General features: G+C 46.9%; 1 protein-coding gene across 56 annotated transcripts in view, besides 2 other annotated features; it reads left to right on the top strand.

The window, feature by feature from the left end:
• Positions 1-17,961, top strand: part of CACNA1C (calcium voltage-gated channel subunit alpha1 C) — a 727,171-nt gene that overhangs the window by 517,627 nt on the left and 191,583 nt on the right. For 38 of the 56 annotated variants that reach the window (XM_017019927.3, XM_017019928.3, XM_047429513.1 and 35 more), the window contains 2 exons: positions 4,784-4,980; positions 16,436-16,539. In XM_017019927.3, coding sequence (XP_016875416.1) covers positions 4,784-4,980; positions 16,436-16,539 — 301 coding nt within the window. Of the gene's footprint in view, positions 1-4,783; positions 4,981-16,029; positions 16,134-16,435; positions 16,540-17,961 lie in introns of all 56 variants that reach the window. The other 18 variants (XM_017019926.3, XM_017019934.3, XM_017019946.3 and 15 more) reach the window with 3 other exon arrangements.
• Positions 4,349-4,850: an enhancer, noted in NCBI's record as "H3K27ac-H3K4me1 hESC enhancer chr12:2601921-2602422 (GRCh37/hg19 assembly coordinates)". NCBI's record gives its function as "activates a minimal SCP1, AML or CMV promoter by ChIP-STARR-seq in naive H9 embryonic stem cells {active_cell/tissue: H9 hESC(naive)}" and the evidence as "EXISTENCE:reporter gene assay evidence [ECO:0000049][PMID:30033119]".
• Positions 4,851-5,351: an enhancer, noted in NCBI's record as "H3K27ac-H3K4me1 hESC enhancer chr12:2602423-2602923 (GRCh37/hg19 assembly coordinates)". NCBI's record gives its function as "activates a minimal SCP1, AML or CMV promoter by ChIP-STARR-seq in naive H9 embryonic stem cells {active_cell/tissue: H9 hESC(naive)}" and the evidence as "EXISTENCE:reporter gene assay evidence [ECO:0000049][PMID:30033119]".

Raw genomic sequence — 17,961 nt, forward strand, 5'->3', positions numbered from 1 at the left:
CAGTGAAGAGGTCGCCCCAACGCCCCAAGTACCGAACCTGTCATGGCCTCCTCTTCTCTTAGGACAAAGATAAGACTTGGCCTCCCCAATTGGAATGGCCAATTTAGGATCACATTGTCCACCCTTGATAGTAAACAGGACCAGGAAAAGTGCCTGAGAAGTTGCCTCCTACCAAGAGACTCATCAGATTGTTTATGTGATGGGTTTATCTTTGCCTGCAAGTTCAGAAGAGAAGTAGGCTCCCATCACAGAAATGGCCATGAGCCAAGGGGGCCAGGACAACAGCAGAAGTGCTCCAGAGAGAAGGGCCCTGCCAGGCTCCATGAGAAGGTGGCCTCACTCATTCGCTGGAGTCAGAGTCCCTGCTGGGAAGAGGGGCCCAGGACACAGCTGCAGAAGCCTGTCCTCTCAAATACTCTGCAATCAGGAGCTTGCTGTCCCTTCGTTCCCAAACCTGCCGTCTGATCACAAGCCAGGACCCACTCTGTCACTCTTAGCACAACACGATGCCGCTGCTATCAAGCCCTTGTCCACCCACAGAGTGGGCAGTGCAGACAAGGAGGGAAAATACGCGAGAACCCAGACATGTCTGTGCAGCCGTGGAGTAGAAGACCAAATACTTGCAGGCTTTGAAACCAACCCCTGAGTGTTTTGGAGAGTTTTATATAAACTTTGGAATGGGTGGTTTAATTTTTTTCTTTCTTTCTTTCTTTCTTTTTTTAAAATTTCAGACTTTGGATTGAATTACCCTATTTTCCGCAAATTTAGATTACACAAAAGTGCTTTGTGAGCCTTTGTTGTAATTTTTGATGAGATTTACATCAAATTCTTTTTATAGTCCAATATTATTTCACAGACTGTGAATTTTATGTATCTCTAGATTTCAAAATACGTTTGATTTTGAGCCATGTTTCCAATAAAATCCATAAAGAAAGTTATGGAATTGTCCAGGTGAGCCATGTTCTACCTCTAGACTGCCCTTCCAGGGAGCAGCCCCGGTGAAGGCGGTCTCAGAAGAGGCGGCGTTTCCCTAATCCCGGAGGCATCTGCAAGGCGCCTTCTCAGCTCCTCAACAGACACATCACCATATGCCGATACCTTTTGTTTCCGGTTGTCCCATCTGTTTGATGGTGCACTGAGCCAGGTCACTCTGAATAGCTTCCCAATCACAGTAATTACCCCTGAGACTGGCACAGAGCTGGTTGGCTAAAACCTAGAAATGAAATCATCTTCATTCTATTTACTCCTTAAAGTTGAGTTTTAAAAAAGTAATTGATTTTTGTCTTCAGTGATTTCTCCTTGGAATCACTAACTGGAGCTCTCCCAGGATTGCATGTTTGTGTTGGTATTAACTGCGTTTCTAACTCTCTCCTAATCGTCACCTCCATTATTTTACCGAAAACTTAATTTGGACTTTCCAGAATGACTCTACCTCTCTTCATTTCTGTCTTAAAATGTAGAACCTGCATTGCTTTGTTTCTGTCTCCCACTTCATGTTCCCACTTTCCTCCCCAGGACTTCATGACTCTGCAAAAGAAAACTAACACATTTTTACATTTAAGCAAATTTCTCCTCACCCTAGAGTGTGTGTTGCTAGGACCTGCTGATTTGTGTGTGTTCACATTTTTTCAAGTGTTCGCTTTAGCGCTTTTTATAGATACCTATTTTTACCAGATCATCACTGCTTCTTAATTGTTCTCAAATCTTTTTCATTATTGTTCAAATCGGATTTTAAATAGCAGAGTGGCACTAAACCTTTAGATAATGTTTCTGAATCTCATCCCTTTCTCTCTTATTAGTGAGATCACTTCCCCTTGATGCCATTTTCTTTTTCGCAGATATTCGTAAAATCCCCAGAGATGTTTTCCTTTCTCGAGGACACTCAGAATTCCCTTTGGCAGCCTTCTCCTCTTCCCTGTTTGTGATGTTTCAGGAACTGAGAGTGCAGGGAATGCTGTCAGATGAGTGGTCCCAATGTAAAGATTAACTTCATCTTTATTCTGCGAAAAAGCAAAACATGAGAAAAAGATGCAAGAAAAAGATGCAAGCTTCCCCTTCACTTTTTCACCCTTTCTCTTTGTCCCGTCTCTGCTGTCATTCCAGTACTTTTATCACAGTGACTGAACACATCTCCCTAGAAAGCTATGACTAGAATGGGTGACAACCCAACATAATTAATGATCTAATTGGCTCTTGGTTTTCCAGTCTCTCAGCTCCCAAATTTTTCGGTGCTTATTATCCACTTTTTCATGTATTATTTAGGCTTAGGATTTACATTTTAGCCTCCCCCTTTTTTGTAGCATCACATCCAAATCTCTAAAGATTTCACATTTTTAAAAGTCATAAAAAGTTGTAGTTAGAGGACTGCTTGTTTCAGCTGCGTTAATGGAGCCCTCCTGGGAGCTGGACCCTGAAATAAGGAAATGGTGTGGATACTGTCTCTCTAGCAGTTCAGGGACCAGCAGTGCAGACCTTTGCACCTTGATCAACGAACACAGGACTCACACACAACTTTAAGCACTGGCCCAAGAATAAGCCAGGAAGCAGCATTATTCATAATAGCCCAAACCTGGAAATAATCCAGACGTCCATCAGCTGGTGAATGGATAAACATACAATGAAATACACTGCTCAGCAATAAAGAGGAACAGAGCCTACTGATATATGCAGCAGCACGGATGAAACTCAAAACATTATGCTAAGTGAAAGAAGATGGACATAAAAAGCCTCATAGTGTGTGATTCCATTTATATGAAATTTCTAGAGGAGGCAAAGCAATGGAGACACAAAGCAGATCAGGTTGCCAGGGACTGGGGATGGGAGGAAGGATTGACTGCAAGCAGGCGAGGGGGGTTTCAGGGAGTGATGGCCGTGCTTTAAAATGGATTGTGGTTATGGCTGCATGACTATATAAACTTACTAAAAATAATTAAGATGTACATTTACATTGATAAATTCTGAGGCATGTAAATTATAAGTCAATAAAGCTGATGGGGTCAGTGGGAGAGAAAGAGAGGAGAGGAGAAGAAGGAGGAGGAGGAAAAGGAGGAGGAGGAGGAAATGACAGAGGAGGAAGAGGAAATGAAATTGACAGAGAACAAGGAGGAGGAGGAGGCCACAAAGATGACCACGAAGGTGATGATGACAATGAAGAGGAGGAGGCATGTAAATTATAAGTCAATAAAGCTGATGGGGTCAGTGGGAGAGAAAGAGAGGAGAGGAGAAGAAGGAGGAGGAGGAGGAGGAAGAGGAGGAGGAGGAGGAGCTGCCACTGCTGCTGGGAAGACACAATCGGGCATATATTTTCAAGTAGACTCTATTCTCCTAAGAATTATCTCTTACTTAAGGATTAATATTTCTCTTCTGGTCTTCCTCTTGGGAGTGAACAGTTTCAGATTTAAAGCCACCGACTGAGAATCAGCCCACCGGCCAGTCCTGTTCAATGCACAGCCTAACGTAGGCAAAGTAATCACACTTACGATTGTTTTGATATATATGAAACCAGAAAATAATCCTGGGTTATCTGTTGTCTCTAAATGAAGAACTATAAGCAAATTCTCTCTCTCTCTCTCTCTCTCTCTCTCTCTCTCTTTGGAAGTGTATTTTCATTGTTATAGGCAATCATTTATTTGTTGGAACTGGGGTCTCTTCTGTCTGTTATTGTCATTACTTTGTCTAAGGACAGGACAATGTCCTTGATTTCACAAACTTTTGTGAATTCCACACCGTTACCTTCCATAGCCAGAGCCAAGACTTTCTCAGTGTTTTCCCATAATGGAAATTCTTAGATCAGTCAGGTCTTGTTTAAATTTACCATCAATCTCCACACTCAAAATATAAGTCACATCTTCATTCATTAATTTGCTGGGAGCTATTCCCAGCACGTGAAATTAGTCCAACTGCTGCATTTAGCCACAGACACTGTGTTCTACTGTTTCCTGACAAAGCCCCGTCCGTACTGAGGAAGCACACTCCCTATTATTCACTGCCGCTCTATCTTGATAGAGGTCAGAAAATGATTCTTCTCTTCTGAAAAGTATTCATGCTGCAGAGCAAAGGGCAGAGCTGTGAAGTCCCACATGACATGCATGAAATACAGTCAGTAGCGTGTACTCACAGGCTGTAAGGAAAACGGCTGCAGGTGATCCCTCTCCCCGGCAGTCAGAGTCCGTTTTCCGTCTTTCGCCTATGTAAGGCTTCACTGTAAAGTGACTTGCGTCCCTGGCAATGTATCCTCTAATACATAGTGGACCCATATAGTTAGAAAGCTTTATTGGATGGGATCGGTTGGCTAACTATGTGAAGGAGTCTTTGCATTGGTATTGTCCTTACCCTAAATTCTGGTATTCCAATACAAGTGTCTATAGAACTCTACCACCAGAAAAAGAAAATATGGACTTCTAATCGCTTTCTGGGTCAGTTTCCACTTGCAGTGGTGGCATCATCATTATTTTTTGATTGGCCATTTGATTTTGAGGCTGACATGTTGCAGCAGAATGGGCAATAGAAATCAATTACTAAGATTAAAATACAGCTTTTACAACAGTGAGTGGAAAGGACTGACCTTCTAAATTAACAGCAGCCTAAATGGAAAGCCTACTTTCTTGTGTTGCTTAATTCACATCTGGGGACCTGATTTAAACATGTCTTGCGCTGTTGTTGCCATGGTTGCTTTGCCCATCCCATCAACCTCATCCTGTCACTTTTCTCTCTGACTTCTTTCTCTGCCCACATCTCTCCCTCCCTGCTGCTCCCGTCTCCTGTCTTCTTCTGGCCATTTGAGATGTTCCAGCAGAAGATGACCCTTCCCCTTGTGCGCTGGAAACGGGCCACGGGCGGCAGTGCCAGAACGGCACGGTGTGCAAGCCCGGCTGGGATGGTCCCAAGCACGGCATCACCAACTTTGACAACTTTGCCTTCGCCATGCTCACGGTGTTCCAGTGCATCACCATGGAGGGCTGGACGGACGTGCTGTACTGGGTACGTAGCATGAGTGGGCAGTCAGAGGGTGGGGGAACAGCGGCCGTGAACCCTTCCCTGACACCTCCCTTTCTCCTCCTCCCCATGGTCTTGGGGTCACATACGCATCTTGATGGAATGGTTGATGAAGAGCGTCTTTGATTTCTTCCAGGTCTTGCCTGAGAAACAAGGCATGAGCTTTTCACCCTAACGAGTCCCCTCCCCCACCCGCCAGCCTTAGGGGAAGGTCATTTTTCCAGTGCGTCCCACAGTGCAAAACCCTGGTGTGCAGGCATGGATGAGCTGGCCAGGCTGGCACAAGGGTTCCGTTCAACTCCTCCTCCCATGCAGAGTTCCTTCTGCCCTCATCCTTTTCTTGCCTCTTTCCTCAAAAGGGAGCTAGAAGGCAGAATTATGTATTCTTAGGGCAGAAGAGAAGAAGTCCTGATCTTCTAAAAAGAAGTTATATAAAGAAACCATTTTTATTGAATTGTGTAGCATTGTGACATGCTATTCAATTTTTACTTTTTATTTTACTCTTACCTTAACATATTAGAATAGTCCATCAGACAAATGCATTGGCAGCATTTTTACTATTCCCCAAACATGCTGCTGGTCATGTGATGCCTATTTAGAAATACACTTTTTTTTTTTAATTTTTATTTTACTTTAGGTTCTGGGATACATGTGTAGAACGTGCAGGTTTGCTGCATAGGTATACATGAGACATGGTGGTTTGTTGCACCCATCCACCCGTCATCTATTAAGCCCCACATACATTAGGTAGAGAAATACCACTTCTCGAGAGCCACCCAATCAATAGCAAATCTTCGTTTACCTTAAAGTTGCCCCTTTTATTACCCAGTAGCCAACACTACTTTGCTGCGCTTTGAGCCTCTGAAGTGCCAGATTTTTGTACAGCCTACCCCACAGGCAAATCCACACTCCATATTTGAGCTGTCTCGATTCTGGCAAAGTCCATTATTAGGAAAAACTCCAGAAAATTTATTCTTCATAGTGTCTCCAACTTCAGCCTGAGAAATGACTTGCCAGAATCCAGTGTTGTTCTCCAGAATTTGGGCGAATAAAGCATGCTGCCAGTCTTAAAAATACCATCTCCTTCAGAGTTTTGCAAATAGGCAAATTTATTTGGCCATCGTGAAAACAATCTAAGAGCCTGCTCAGGGAACATGTCTACAAACCAAAGCAGGGAAGAGTGAGAGGGGAGCAAATGCTTCCCGTTGAGCAGAGCTGCCAGATCAAAAGGAAATCATGCCAAGAGAGGCGTTGACTTCTTCCTGAATCGGAAGGAAGAGTTTTGTAACTGTACGGAGATTTGGTGCACAGTATTCTGTCATATGATTTCTTTAAAAGCACCATGTCCTGTTGATTCAGAATCCCTCTTTCTCAGTTTTTACATGATAGTCAATATGCCAAACCCCAGTGTTGCTATGACATGTGTCCCTCCCTCTGTAAGTGACAACTTGAAACTTGCCCGAGGACCTTGTACCCAGCAAACATTTCCTGAGTGTCCTTGCCTGCCAGGGGTGCTCCTAGGCTCTGAGGATTCAGTCATAAATAAGATCCAGTCCAGTCCAATTATCTCAGTCTAGGAAGCCAACTAAACTCTAAACTGAGTAATGGCAGTATGGCTGGACCCATGCCGCGGCAAAGCTGCTGTGTTGTGATACTTTCAAAAAGAAGACAAAGGTCAGAACCCCTCTGCCTCAAACTAAAATGAAACACTGGAAAACATTTCTGAGATTCATGCTCAATAAGACCTTGGTTTTGAATAATTTGTAAGACAGAAGGAATTGAACTTATTACACTTAGGGAAACTTATTTTGTTTAGCAAAGCAGACAAAATTCCCAAGTGGACCTAGCTGGTCCTTCTTCCTGGGGTGGGTCCCTCTGACCAGCCAAGGACAGAAACATCCTTCTGCCAACAGGCAGTTTCTGCCTACAGGCCACATAGGATAAATGATTGTGTGGGACTGTGCTTTGGGGCCTCATCCCATAAGCTTCAGGCCCATGCATTCCATGGCATCAAACTGAGGGCAGGTGGCAGTGGAGGGTGGGTGGAGGGTAGGAATAGATATGACTGCCTTTGCTGATGTATTTTTGTGTTCTTCCTTCACCACTCCCTTCTTCTCCCACCACCACAAGTCATTGATGCCCCACCAGCCAGATGTGATCCAAAGAAATACTGTCATAATGACAGCCGGGGCGGGGAGCAGAAGCAGCAACAACTGCAACCACCAATTTTCAGCAGCTGTGTTGTGCCTTCTCCCCTGGGGAGCGTGTGATAGTGCTCAGGCTGGGAATGGAAACAGTGTCAGAGGTGAAGAAACAATCCCAGGCTCATGGGACATGCCTCTCTCTGATTTTCCCAGCACCTTCCCAAAATGGCCATGTTGTGTGTGTGTGCATTTGTATGTGTGTGCACGCCTGCAAGTGTGTATACACACACGTGCACATACACACACCTAAAACTGAAACTTGGGTATTCATGATAGAAGCCCTGCCTAGCCCAGTGCTCCTGCTTTCAATTTCTCTAATTGCTTTGACCTTTCTACGGCTGTTTCTTCCTTCTTCCTCCCTCTCCCTCTTCCTTTCTCTCCAGTGTCCCTCCTCCTTAGCTTCTAGGCCAGTATCTCTAAAGCACAGACTCTCAAATCTCAAAATGTTCTAGCATCAAACATAGAGCTTTGTAAATATAAAAATACCCAAACCTCCCTCAGAGCCATTGAATTAGAAGCTCTAAAGTCGGGGCCCCAGTATCTGCATTTTGAAAAAGCTCTCCAGGTGATTCTGATTTCCAGGCTGGAGTTTGAAAACGCTGGAAATCTAACCTGTTGAACCTCATGGTGCTGGTATGATGCTGCTGGCTTTGAACCCTTCTAAGGAGATAGTTTCCACAGGGAGGAGGGGGAAATAAGGCCTTTCACTCAGAAGAATGAATTGTCCTTCAGGCACAAGGGCAAGTCTAAAGGACTTGAGAAGGAGCAGCCAAGATTTTCAAATATAGTAATGCATGGAAACCCCAGAGCTCCATTCATTCTAAATCACCAAACAGCTGGAAAAGAGTAAGTCACTAAAGCATCAAAGAAGCGATTGGTCAGCCGCTGGTTATGGCCTGAGATAGAAGGGATCAGGGAAGGCACCTAGCAGATGGCAGCACTTGCTTCCAGTTGTGGATGATACAGTATCTTTCTCTTTTCCTCTAACATCCGTTATTGCATTCCATTGTTAGATTTTAAAGAGTGGACTAAAAATAAAATCAGACTTGGTCGAGTAATACTTGAACATTGCTTCAGCTATGAAAGCCATTGGCCATGCATTGCATTGAGGCTCCAACAAGCCGAGCAATTTGCTGAAAACATTTCTTCTACCTAATATCCTGTTTGAGGAGTGTGCAGATGACAGAATAAGGAAGGGTGGATACCGGGGATTTGGAAATGAAACAAAACTCGGGTTTGGTGTATAGTTTCCTTAGGAAATTACTTCTTAAGCCAAAGGCTCATCCTTTACTCTCAGAATGTCCAAGACTCTTAAAAACAGATGGGTAGGTGTGGGGAGTGTGATCAGATAAAAAGCGCTGGCCTTCTTCAGAGGCAGTGAAGCACCAAGGAGGGAAGAACCTAATGTGTAACGTTACCATTGTTTTCCATTCTTAGTTTCACGTTTTGTTTTTTTCAAAAATCTAAACATCCCTAGCCTTTTGCACATCATTCAAGGCTGCTTGTCTCCCATGGTCTACGCATGAGCCATCTCAAAGATGTAAAGTCTGCTGGGTCAGCCTCCTTTGCAGGACCTTGTCGATAGGATTCATAGGCATGCTCTGAGAATTCCAGTTGGTTTGAAACTCTGAGCATGACCTCTTACACACTGTGGGCAGTCACAATCAGGTAACAGAAATATCCATCAATTAAACATCTTTTCAGTGCTGACTTTGTGTTCAGCACTTGAGATGAGGCCCCTGCTCATGGGAAACAGAATGACATGGCCACTGATAGGGGTTGGGGACACACGCAGAACGTTGCAGGTGAGAATTGTGGAAGGGGGGCAGCAGCTAGACTAGGCATCACACTAGAGGATGTGTTTCTAGCTCTTTAGGAATCTCAATGCCTGGATAATTCATCAGGAGCATTCTGTTGACTTCTGTCCACCCCATGCCCTTCTGGGATCCCCAAGAATGTTGCACACTGTGAACCACAGTAAAGAGCCTCTGGCCCGCGTTATCCTGGGTTCATGCCCCTTCCCATCCTATTGGGACCACCCTCTTCCTGACACCACCCATTGCCCCTGCATTAGTTTCTCCGTGATCAGTTCTTCGACTGATTTTTTTTTACAAGTTAAAAATTAAACTTAAAAATTAGGTTATAAAAAATACTTAATGAGAAATCATCTAAAAGAAAGATTTTTTTAGAGTCACAAATAGTGTGTTCTCTAGAACCTGGAATTTGTTTTGGTTCAGCCAACAGGAGACTCTTGGAACAAAAATCTAATGAGTTAACTTTTCATAAGTCACTTGTCAGCTCCACCCTTCATCTTGCCATCCCACTATGTGTCTGGATGTGCGGAGAAGGTATTTCTATTAAATTCACACACACACACACACACACACACACACACACAACAGCTATTAATCTCTTGGTATTGGTGCTGCTGAAATATCCCTCGTTTATGACAAAGACCTTTTGCATCCAAGCAGGTTGAATTGGGTGTTTTACCCTATTTTTGTCTACTCCATCTTCACAAAGCCACCTCCTTTCACTGCAGAATATAGAGTTGCTGAAGGCTTCATAAAAGTTAGAGCTGAATTCTGCTGATGACCTAGGAGTCATTCTAAGTGAGGAGCTGAGAAACCCTCAAGTAACCCAGAAACAGTGTCCAGGGCCCTTTCTCAGGTATCGGAGTAGAGACCGTGTTAGGACCTCTGTGGTCCCTGACTTTTCACCTGCCTCCGTGCTACCCCCAGGGTGCACCTGTTGCCTAAAATGGAGAATCCCTGATCTAAACAGTAAACTGGCTGTTCAGAAGCATATCAAGGAAGAGAGTCAGCATCTCTCAAAGCCATTCTTTATTTATTTATTGGGTTTCATTTTATTTATTTTGCTGGTATTAGATGAGTCCTTATGATTCTGTAATTTAATTTAGCAAACATTTATTGAGCATTTGCTGTTTCCTGGGACGAGGGATGTGGGAGCACAGAGAAGAATAAGGCCTGCCCAGGCAGTTCAGGTCTAACTAAAGAGTTGCAGGACATGCGGAGGAACACAGCTGAGCCATGGGGGTCAGTGCCCTCTGTGGGAGCAGGACAGCCCTGAGGGGCACAGAGCACTCCAGGACCAAGTGGGGCTTTACTGGACCAGGAGAGAAGGCTCTTCTGCCTGGGGAAAGCAAGCTTTGTCTCAGTTTGGGAGGCCGCAGAGACCTGGGTTTTAGGTTCTCTCAACATTGCTATGGCTGTCAGCCAGTTGTCTCCTGCACAGGTCTTCACACACTGGGGCCCACTACTCTCTATGACAGCTCCCAACCTCCCACATGATGTCAGCACATGAGTCCATCTGATTCCAGGGAGTTTGAAATGCATGGAGGAGCTTATTTTGTTGGCTTGCCTTGGTGTTAGGAGCTTGTTGTTTTCTTCCCCCATGTAAACTAAGCTTTTACCTGGGCTCTGAGGCACTCCCGGGTTTTCAGCACTCAATAAGCAGGTGCAGGGGTGGGGAGCAGCCAGGTGGAGCCTGTTCCACAACTTCCTGCTCACTTGGTGCTCCGTGAGGTAGCTGCCCGTGTCCCAGCAAGCAAGGTGACATAGATTCTGAAAGCCGCAGGTTGATGGAGCTATTGCCCTGAGCTGACTGGTGTTCACTGGCAGCAGCAGATCCTGTCCCCCAGTGACAGTGTAAAGCACCGTGGCTTTCACAGATTTACACCTCCTGCCTTTCGATGGCAGGTGTCAGCCTCTCTCTCGACATTTGCTGAAACGATTCAGCCTTTTTGGATCCACAGTGCCTGTGCCAAGAACCTTACAGGAAAGGTACACACAGCTTGAGAACCCGTGGAAGTCTGCTGGGCTGGGGAGTTGGCCTCGAGGAGAGGGGCTAGGGAAGCTTATTCCCCTGTTTATCTTTTTGGGGAAAGATAAAAAGTGGACTTGAGGGTTTAAATCTGGGGTTCCCTTCAAGGAATTAGATGCTGGTTGCCGAAAGGTCTTTGATAGTGTTCATTCAATGCTCCCTCCCTTTGTAGTGAGGCTGTTTCAGCCAAGGCAGGGGCCGTCCTGCCAGTACTTGGGCCTGGAGGCCCTCAAGGCTACAGACAATGAGCTGACTTTCCTTAGGAAAGTCAGGAGACCTGAGGAACACGGCTTAATGGCTCTAGAAGACCTATCCCTTATTTCACCTCTAAATAAGGGTGTCAGCAATCTGGGTCATTTTTTTTTTTAAATCTGACTTTATTCTTTGTCTTCTTAATAGCTCCATTTCAGCTGCTTTAGGACATCAATCTCATGACTCCAGGCATCGCCCTACTTCAGAGCCACCCAGCTTTGTGTGCTCTCTACTCAGCTGTCCCCCCAAAGTAGGTGGACCAGAATAAAGAGGAGAAAGTAAGAGGGAAGTGAAAGGAGAACTTTCCTTTCAGACCAGAGCCAGGCAGGCCAGAGAATCACCTTCTGTGGCAGCCGAGCATTGCTCACCCAGGCAGTGGGGTTCTGAGGACCACCCTGGCCTCGTCCGTCTCCATCTCTCATCTGTCCTCCTGCTTCCTGCCCTCGCCTGCTGTTCCCCATCTCGAACCTCTAAAAAACCAGCCCACAGCCCAGGGGGGACCAAAGCAGCAGTGTGGGACGGCGAGGGGGACCCATGAGTTTCCTCTTATGGTCCTGGCTGTCTGTGGGGCCATGACCTTGAGGTCTGTAGCTCCCCCTTTGAAGTCCTTCATATGCTGGAAGCCTCTCACCTTGTGTGTGGCGCAGAAGAAAGGATTCCCAGACTAAGCTCGGGCCTTAGGAAATCTCCAAGGCGCGTGGGTTTGTGTGGCCTCCAAGGCTGCATTTTCTGTGAGGTTAAATGTTCACAAAATTTAAGGGGTGTGAGGAACTAGTGAGGAAAGATTTCATTTTGAGGAAGTTGCCTGGGCGCCATCGAGCCCAACTCCCACTCGCCATCTGCCCAGGCTCCAGAGGCAGCTTTGGGAGGGGAACTGTGGTGAGCACGTCGTGGCCTCCTGGAACTGGCTGCTCCCACGTGTCCTGAAGAAGGTGGGGTCTGTGACCCAGAGAGGAGCAAGGGGAGTTTGCCAAGAACAGACATCCTCTGCCACTCTTGATCCCCTGACGCACACGGGGCAAGCTCCTTTGGGGTCGAACAGAACAGACCAGTTGTTTGGAGTAGGTCAGTACCATGGGGTTCTGCACGCGCTTCAGGGTGCCGGCGTGCCCTCGAGGCTGTCTGCAGGATGCTGTGTGTGTGCAGTGCACATTACTGCTGGTGGGAGTCCATAGTTCTCAAAAGCTTTTCCTGACTGCCCCACCCTCTCAAAAAAGTAAAGCAGGCCGGGGGCAGTGGCTCATGCCTGTAATCCCAGCACTTTGGGAGGCCGAGGTGGGCGGATCACGAGGTCAGGAGATCGAGACCATCCTGGCTAACACGGTGAAACCCCGTCTCTACTTTAAAAAAAAAAAAAAATTAGCCAGGTGTGGTGGCGGGTGCCTGTAGTCCCTGCTACTCGGGAGGCTGAGGCAGGAGAATGGCATGAACCCAGGAGGTGGAGCTTGCTGTGAGCCAAGATCACGCCACTGCACCTCCAGCCTGGGCGACAGAGTGAGACTCCACCTCAAAAAAAAAAAAAAAAAAAAAAAAAGTAAAGCAATACTCATTTAGAGGAAAAGAAAGGGACTGCTTCTGACCCTCCTTAGCAGGACTTACTCTGAGAGAGGAAAAGCTACAAGGACACCCACAGGCTCCCCCTGACCTTGGATCCAGGTTTCCCTCTTCCTCAGCAGGTGCCTGGGACTCCCATTCCAGGGCTGTCTCAACCCCATTGCCTTCCCTGTATCAGAGAGTCCGATACACAACAGAACCCTTACACAAGTAGGCGCTCGGTAAATACTTGTTGAACAAACGTGGACTCTGATGTGACCACTGCTAAGAATAGTCAAAGAATGACCTCACGGTTCCCATCGTCAAATGGGACCTGCAGACCACAGCCCATCGTGGCCAGCACGGCTGTCAGTGTGGCCTGTGGTCAGGCAGCTCATGTGGCTCTCATGCCTTTCTCTCCCTAATCTCATGTCACCAATCCCACCCATCCTGTATTGGCTCGGGTTTGTTTTTCTTCTCCTGGTGCTGAAGTCTGGTGTGGTTTCCTTTGCACTGTTGGTTCAGACAGTTACCTTATCGCTAAAGGAAAGCTCCCAGGCTCCCTGGGATGGGGACAGTGTCTGACACACAAGGACCTTTCACCCCGCCTCTCCTAACAGATGCTCTTTTGCTGGATATTTTAGTAGTTCAGCCACTGGGAGAATCTTTGCAGCCAGGATGGCCTCACAGCCATAGGCTCTATTTTTAACAATTGCCGACTTCTGCAAACCTCCATTGCTATCATAGGACCACATGGACTCTGGGGCTTCCTTCCTGCTCTTTATCTCCGTTGCCTTCAGTGGCTGTGCAGTGCAAGGTTGACACAGGCCTGCTGAGCCTGGCCCTTGCCCCCCTCAGCCTCACGCAGACACTCTTCCACTGGTGGAAGCCTTCTGGGACCCTGCGTGCTTCCTTCTGCAGTTGCAGCTGCCAGCCTGCACTGTAGCTGCCTGGTCATTTCCTGTCTCCCCTCCAGCAAGGATTTCGTGTTTACAGCACAGTACCTAGCACATATCAGGTTCACTCATTCACTCAAAGAGCGTTAGCTGAGGACCTACTATGTGCGAGGCATCGTTGTAGGCACCTGGGGTACACCCGTGAACAAAGCAGGCCAGAACCAACTGTCCTCGGGGAGCTCACATTCTAGCATGGAAGACAAACAGCAAATAATACACGTAATAAATAGGTAATGATACAGTTACCAAGTGAGAAGTGCTCTGGGAAAGCAAACCAGATGTGAGAAAATGGGCATGCTCAGTAAACCCACGTTCAATTGAATTTCACGATGGCATGGCCAAGTGGGCACACACTGGGAATCTTCTTGCCCCAGACACGATATTTGCACTATGCACAATGATTATGTTGGGTGAATTTTCCTAACCAAAATTTAGTAATATCAGATACATCTCAATGGATCTGTAAAGAACATATTGGGATGTAACACTTCATACCAGTCAGACTAGCTAGGTGTCTCGGTACTTCTCAGTCTTTTATTCCCGGCATGCAGAGAACATGTTTATCCAGCGTACTTAGACAAATGCATGTGGCTGCTGAAGCTGCAAAGCCCAAGGGCTGAGGGTATTACTATCCCACCTGCCTGAACTCCTTTGAGGCCCCTGGGTGGAAATCGTGGGGTGGTTATCAAACTTGAGCATAGCCTAGAATCACCTGGGATGGTTAATATGCAGACTGTGGGCCACCCTGAGATCTTGGGGGCATGGGGCAGGAATCTGCTTTGTTCATAACTCTCCCAGATGTTTCTGATGCTGGTGGTCCTTGGACCACACTTTGAGGAACACTGCTATGCAACCTTGTGGAGGTACATGGAGAGCCACACACTTGTGTTGTTACATTTGAAATTGGGAGCTATGGAGAGAACAATGTGATCAGTGGTGCTCAAGCATGCATCAGAATCACCTGTAGGGCCGTCAAAACGTGGGTTGCTGGGCCTTCCCCACAGTGTCAGGGTGAGGTCTAGGTATGTGCATTTCTGAACAGGTCCCCAGGTGACGCTGAAGCTGTTCGTCCGTGGGCCACACTTTGAGAGCCATTGATGTGAATCATTCAGGACACTTGTGTGCCTTGGAAGTTTGGGTTTCTATGAGCTAGTTTCACAAGGACAAAGTTGGGTGCATTTTTAGGAAGCCAGAACTTAACCCTGTTTAGTCAGAAGGCATCAGAAGAGATAGCTTTGAGAAACTAAATCAGAATAAATTTCCTCTGATGGAAGCACAGCTCTGCAATTTATCTTCACGTCCACCCTCCAGCCAGTGGTGAGCTAATAAATGTTTAAGCATCTCTTCTTAGGGTCAGCGGGTACAGGGGGCTGATTTATTGCTTGCCTATCTCTGTGGTGTAAATACTTCCACCATGGTCAGTTTCAAGCTGCCAGTGTGGTCAACGAACACGGAGCTGGGAAGAGATGTGCACGGTGAGCTCCCCTCAGCCCCCAGGAGCCAGCTCCGGCGCACCACTCCCTCTGGCTGCCGTAGGGGTTTGTGACCTTTCAGGGCGTTCTCCACCATTCAGTAGTTACAGTCAGTTTCCACATTAAGGACCATTTACCCCTAAGCTGTGGTTGCAGTCACAGGACCCTTCTCTGAATACATAAACCAAAATGATTGCCTCTCCCAGCCGGTGGCCCGCAGTACGTGTGAAGCACTGGGGTTTAGCCTCTAACTTCCGGGCTTGGCCCACGGTCCAGGTGGCCAAGGTTATCTTCTGAGGAAGGTTATCTTTCCTCACACCTCCTCTGTGGTTTCAGTTCTCCAGGCCTGTCAGCAGGAGCTGACGCACTTCATACACCAAGGTCAGGGGCCTCCGGGTGCAACAGAAGGCTTAATGTCCAGGCAAACCCAAGTGAGTTAAACCATCCCATGCTGAAGAAATTATTTTTTGAGGTGACCCATTTTCTCAGACAAGTGAATAGAAAACATTGGAGAAATGTTTCTTTTTCAGAAAATAAAACCACAGAGAGACAGAGTGATTCCTCTTGAGGCAGAGCGGGCCGAGGTCCCCTTCGGTCACAGGAGTTCCTTTGAACATGGGCGATGCCCTGGGTAACACGGGTAACCTGGTGCACATGAACAAAGCCCACGTTCAGCCCCGTCTGTCCCCTCCCAATCTGCTCACACCTGCTGCCTGCCTCTTTGCTGTAACCCAATTCTGCTTCTTCTTTCCTAACTTTCCTTCGTCTTTCCAGATGCAGGACGCTATGGGCTATGAGTTACCCTGGGTGTATTTTGTCAGTCTGGTCATCTTTGGATCCTTTTTCGTTCTAAATCTGGTTCTCGGTGTGTTGAGCGGGTAAGCTGACCGTTTCTATGTCCTCTCCACAACGCAGCCGAGCAAGGTCTCAGGTTCCACTCCGTACATGCCCGGGGTCCTCAGGGATGGGACCCTGACAGGCCCAGGAAAACCACAACAAAGCCTCTGTTCAACCACAGATTCTGACCCATTGGCCAGGCAGGCTGTTTGGCCTCTGATTTGCACCTAGAGGGTCCCCGGATCCTGGCGCTGCGTGGGTCAGTGTCTCGGGAGCCGGGGACCGGCACTGGCCGTGCTCGGTTGCTGAGTGTGCCTCACTAACTATCATTCCGTTCTTCCAGGTCAATGATGCCGTAGGAAGGGACTGGCCCTGGATCTATTTTGTTACACTAATCATCATAGGGTCATTTTTTGTACTTAACTTGGTTCTCGGTGTGCTTAGCGGGTAAGCAGGACCAAGGAAAAAGGTCTTGATTTTTCCATTTATTTTTATTTATTCTTTCTGCTATTCCTGGCTGTATTCTTTTTCTGGCTCTGATGAACCTGGGATAAGGGGTCACCACAGGAGCCTTGAAGTGGATGTCCTTGTCCTGGCTGGGTAAAGGGTCAGATGTGCCACTGGTCTTGGTGGTGGACAATGGAGGAGAGCTGGCTTCACCACAAAAAGTGGGTCCAGCTGGCCCCTCCCAGCCTCAAGTAGCTGTCCAGGCAGGCAGGGCACTTCTCCTTGTGCCTTCGTGGCCTCTGGTGAACAGGCCTGGGTAAGAAAAGACTGGTTTAAAACATAAACAAAGACAGACTCAAAATCTAATTCTCATTTTACTTCATAGACTGAGCAGTCTATCTCTGAGTTTCCTTTTCTGAATGGAAAGGACCCTTAACTGTTTAAAGCCATATATTATTTAAGAATAGAGGAGATGGGATGCAATTTCCTCTAACTTTATATCTAGTTGGCTGCAAGTATCACATCTACCTAATTTCAGCCCTTGCTCAGATGAAGTTAGAAGTGGTAGAAGTAACCGGGCATGGTGGTGCACACCTGTAGACCCAGCAACTCAGAAGGCTGAGACAGGAGGATCACTTGAGCCCAGGAGTTCAAGGCTGCAGTGAGCTATGATCGTGCCACTGCACTGCAGCCTGGGCAACATAGCGAGACCCCATGGTAGAAGTAGCACGTGGTTGGAAGGAAGCACCTGAGGATGGCCACCTTTTCACCATGGAAACGCATAGGATATTTCCTCAACCCACTTTCTTCTTCAGAAGTCCACACCAGCCATGCCAAGGCCTAACACCTAAATGCTCCTGGTGACCTGCTCATGGGTAACCCACTCTGCTGCCTTTGCCACTTGGGGGAGGGGGGTAATCTACTTCTACTCTGCTTGAGACTGGTCAGCTGCTTTGCAGAGTCTTCCCTAAATGTCTAGAGAGGTTAATGCTGGGAGAAATTTAAGCATAAAGACAAAGATTGCTCTCCACTTTCCCCCAGTACCTAAACTGGGAATCGCTACTCCCAGCTCCTACAGCTGCCCTAATGCAGTTCAGAGCAGTGGGCTTGGCCTTCAGAGCTGCGTAGAGGAAAGAATCTCCTCCCAGCTCTTCCACCTCCCATGGAGAATGGCCCAGTAGAGACCTTGATGACAAAATGCCTTTTGCTAAGGTGAGGCCACACAGGAGACTAGTGCCTTCCATCAGGGATAACAGTGATGAGCAGAACAACGTAAGTCCCTGATTCATTGCCTGGAAGGTAGAGAGGTTTTCAGTTTTATGTTCAAACACAAGAAAATGCCCATGTGTTTATATGTGAATCTCTAAGGAAAAGATTGAAAAAATCAACCTCATCACCCTGAATCAAAGCAGAAATTGAGGC

This window comes from Homo sapiens, chromosome 12, assembly GCF_000001405.40.
Source record: "Homo sapiens chromosome 12, GRCh38.p14 Primary Assembly".
Lineage (NCBI taxonomy): Eukaryota > Metazoa > Chordata > Mammalia > Primates > Hominidae > Homo > Homo sapiens.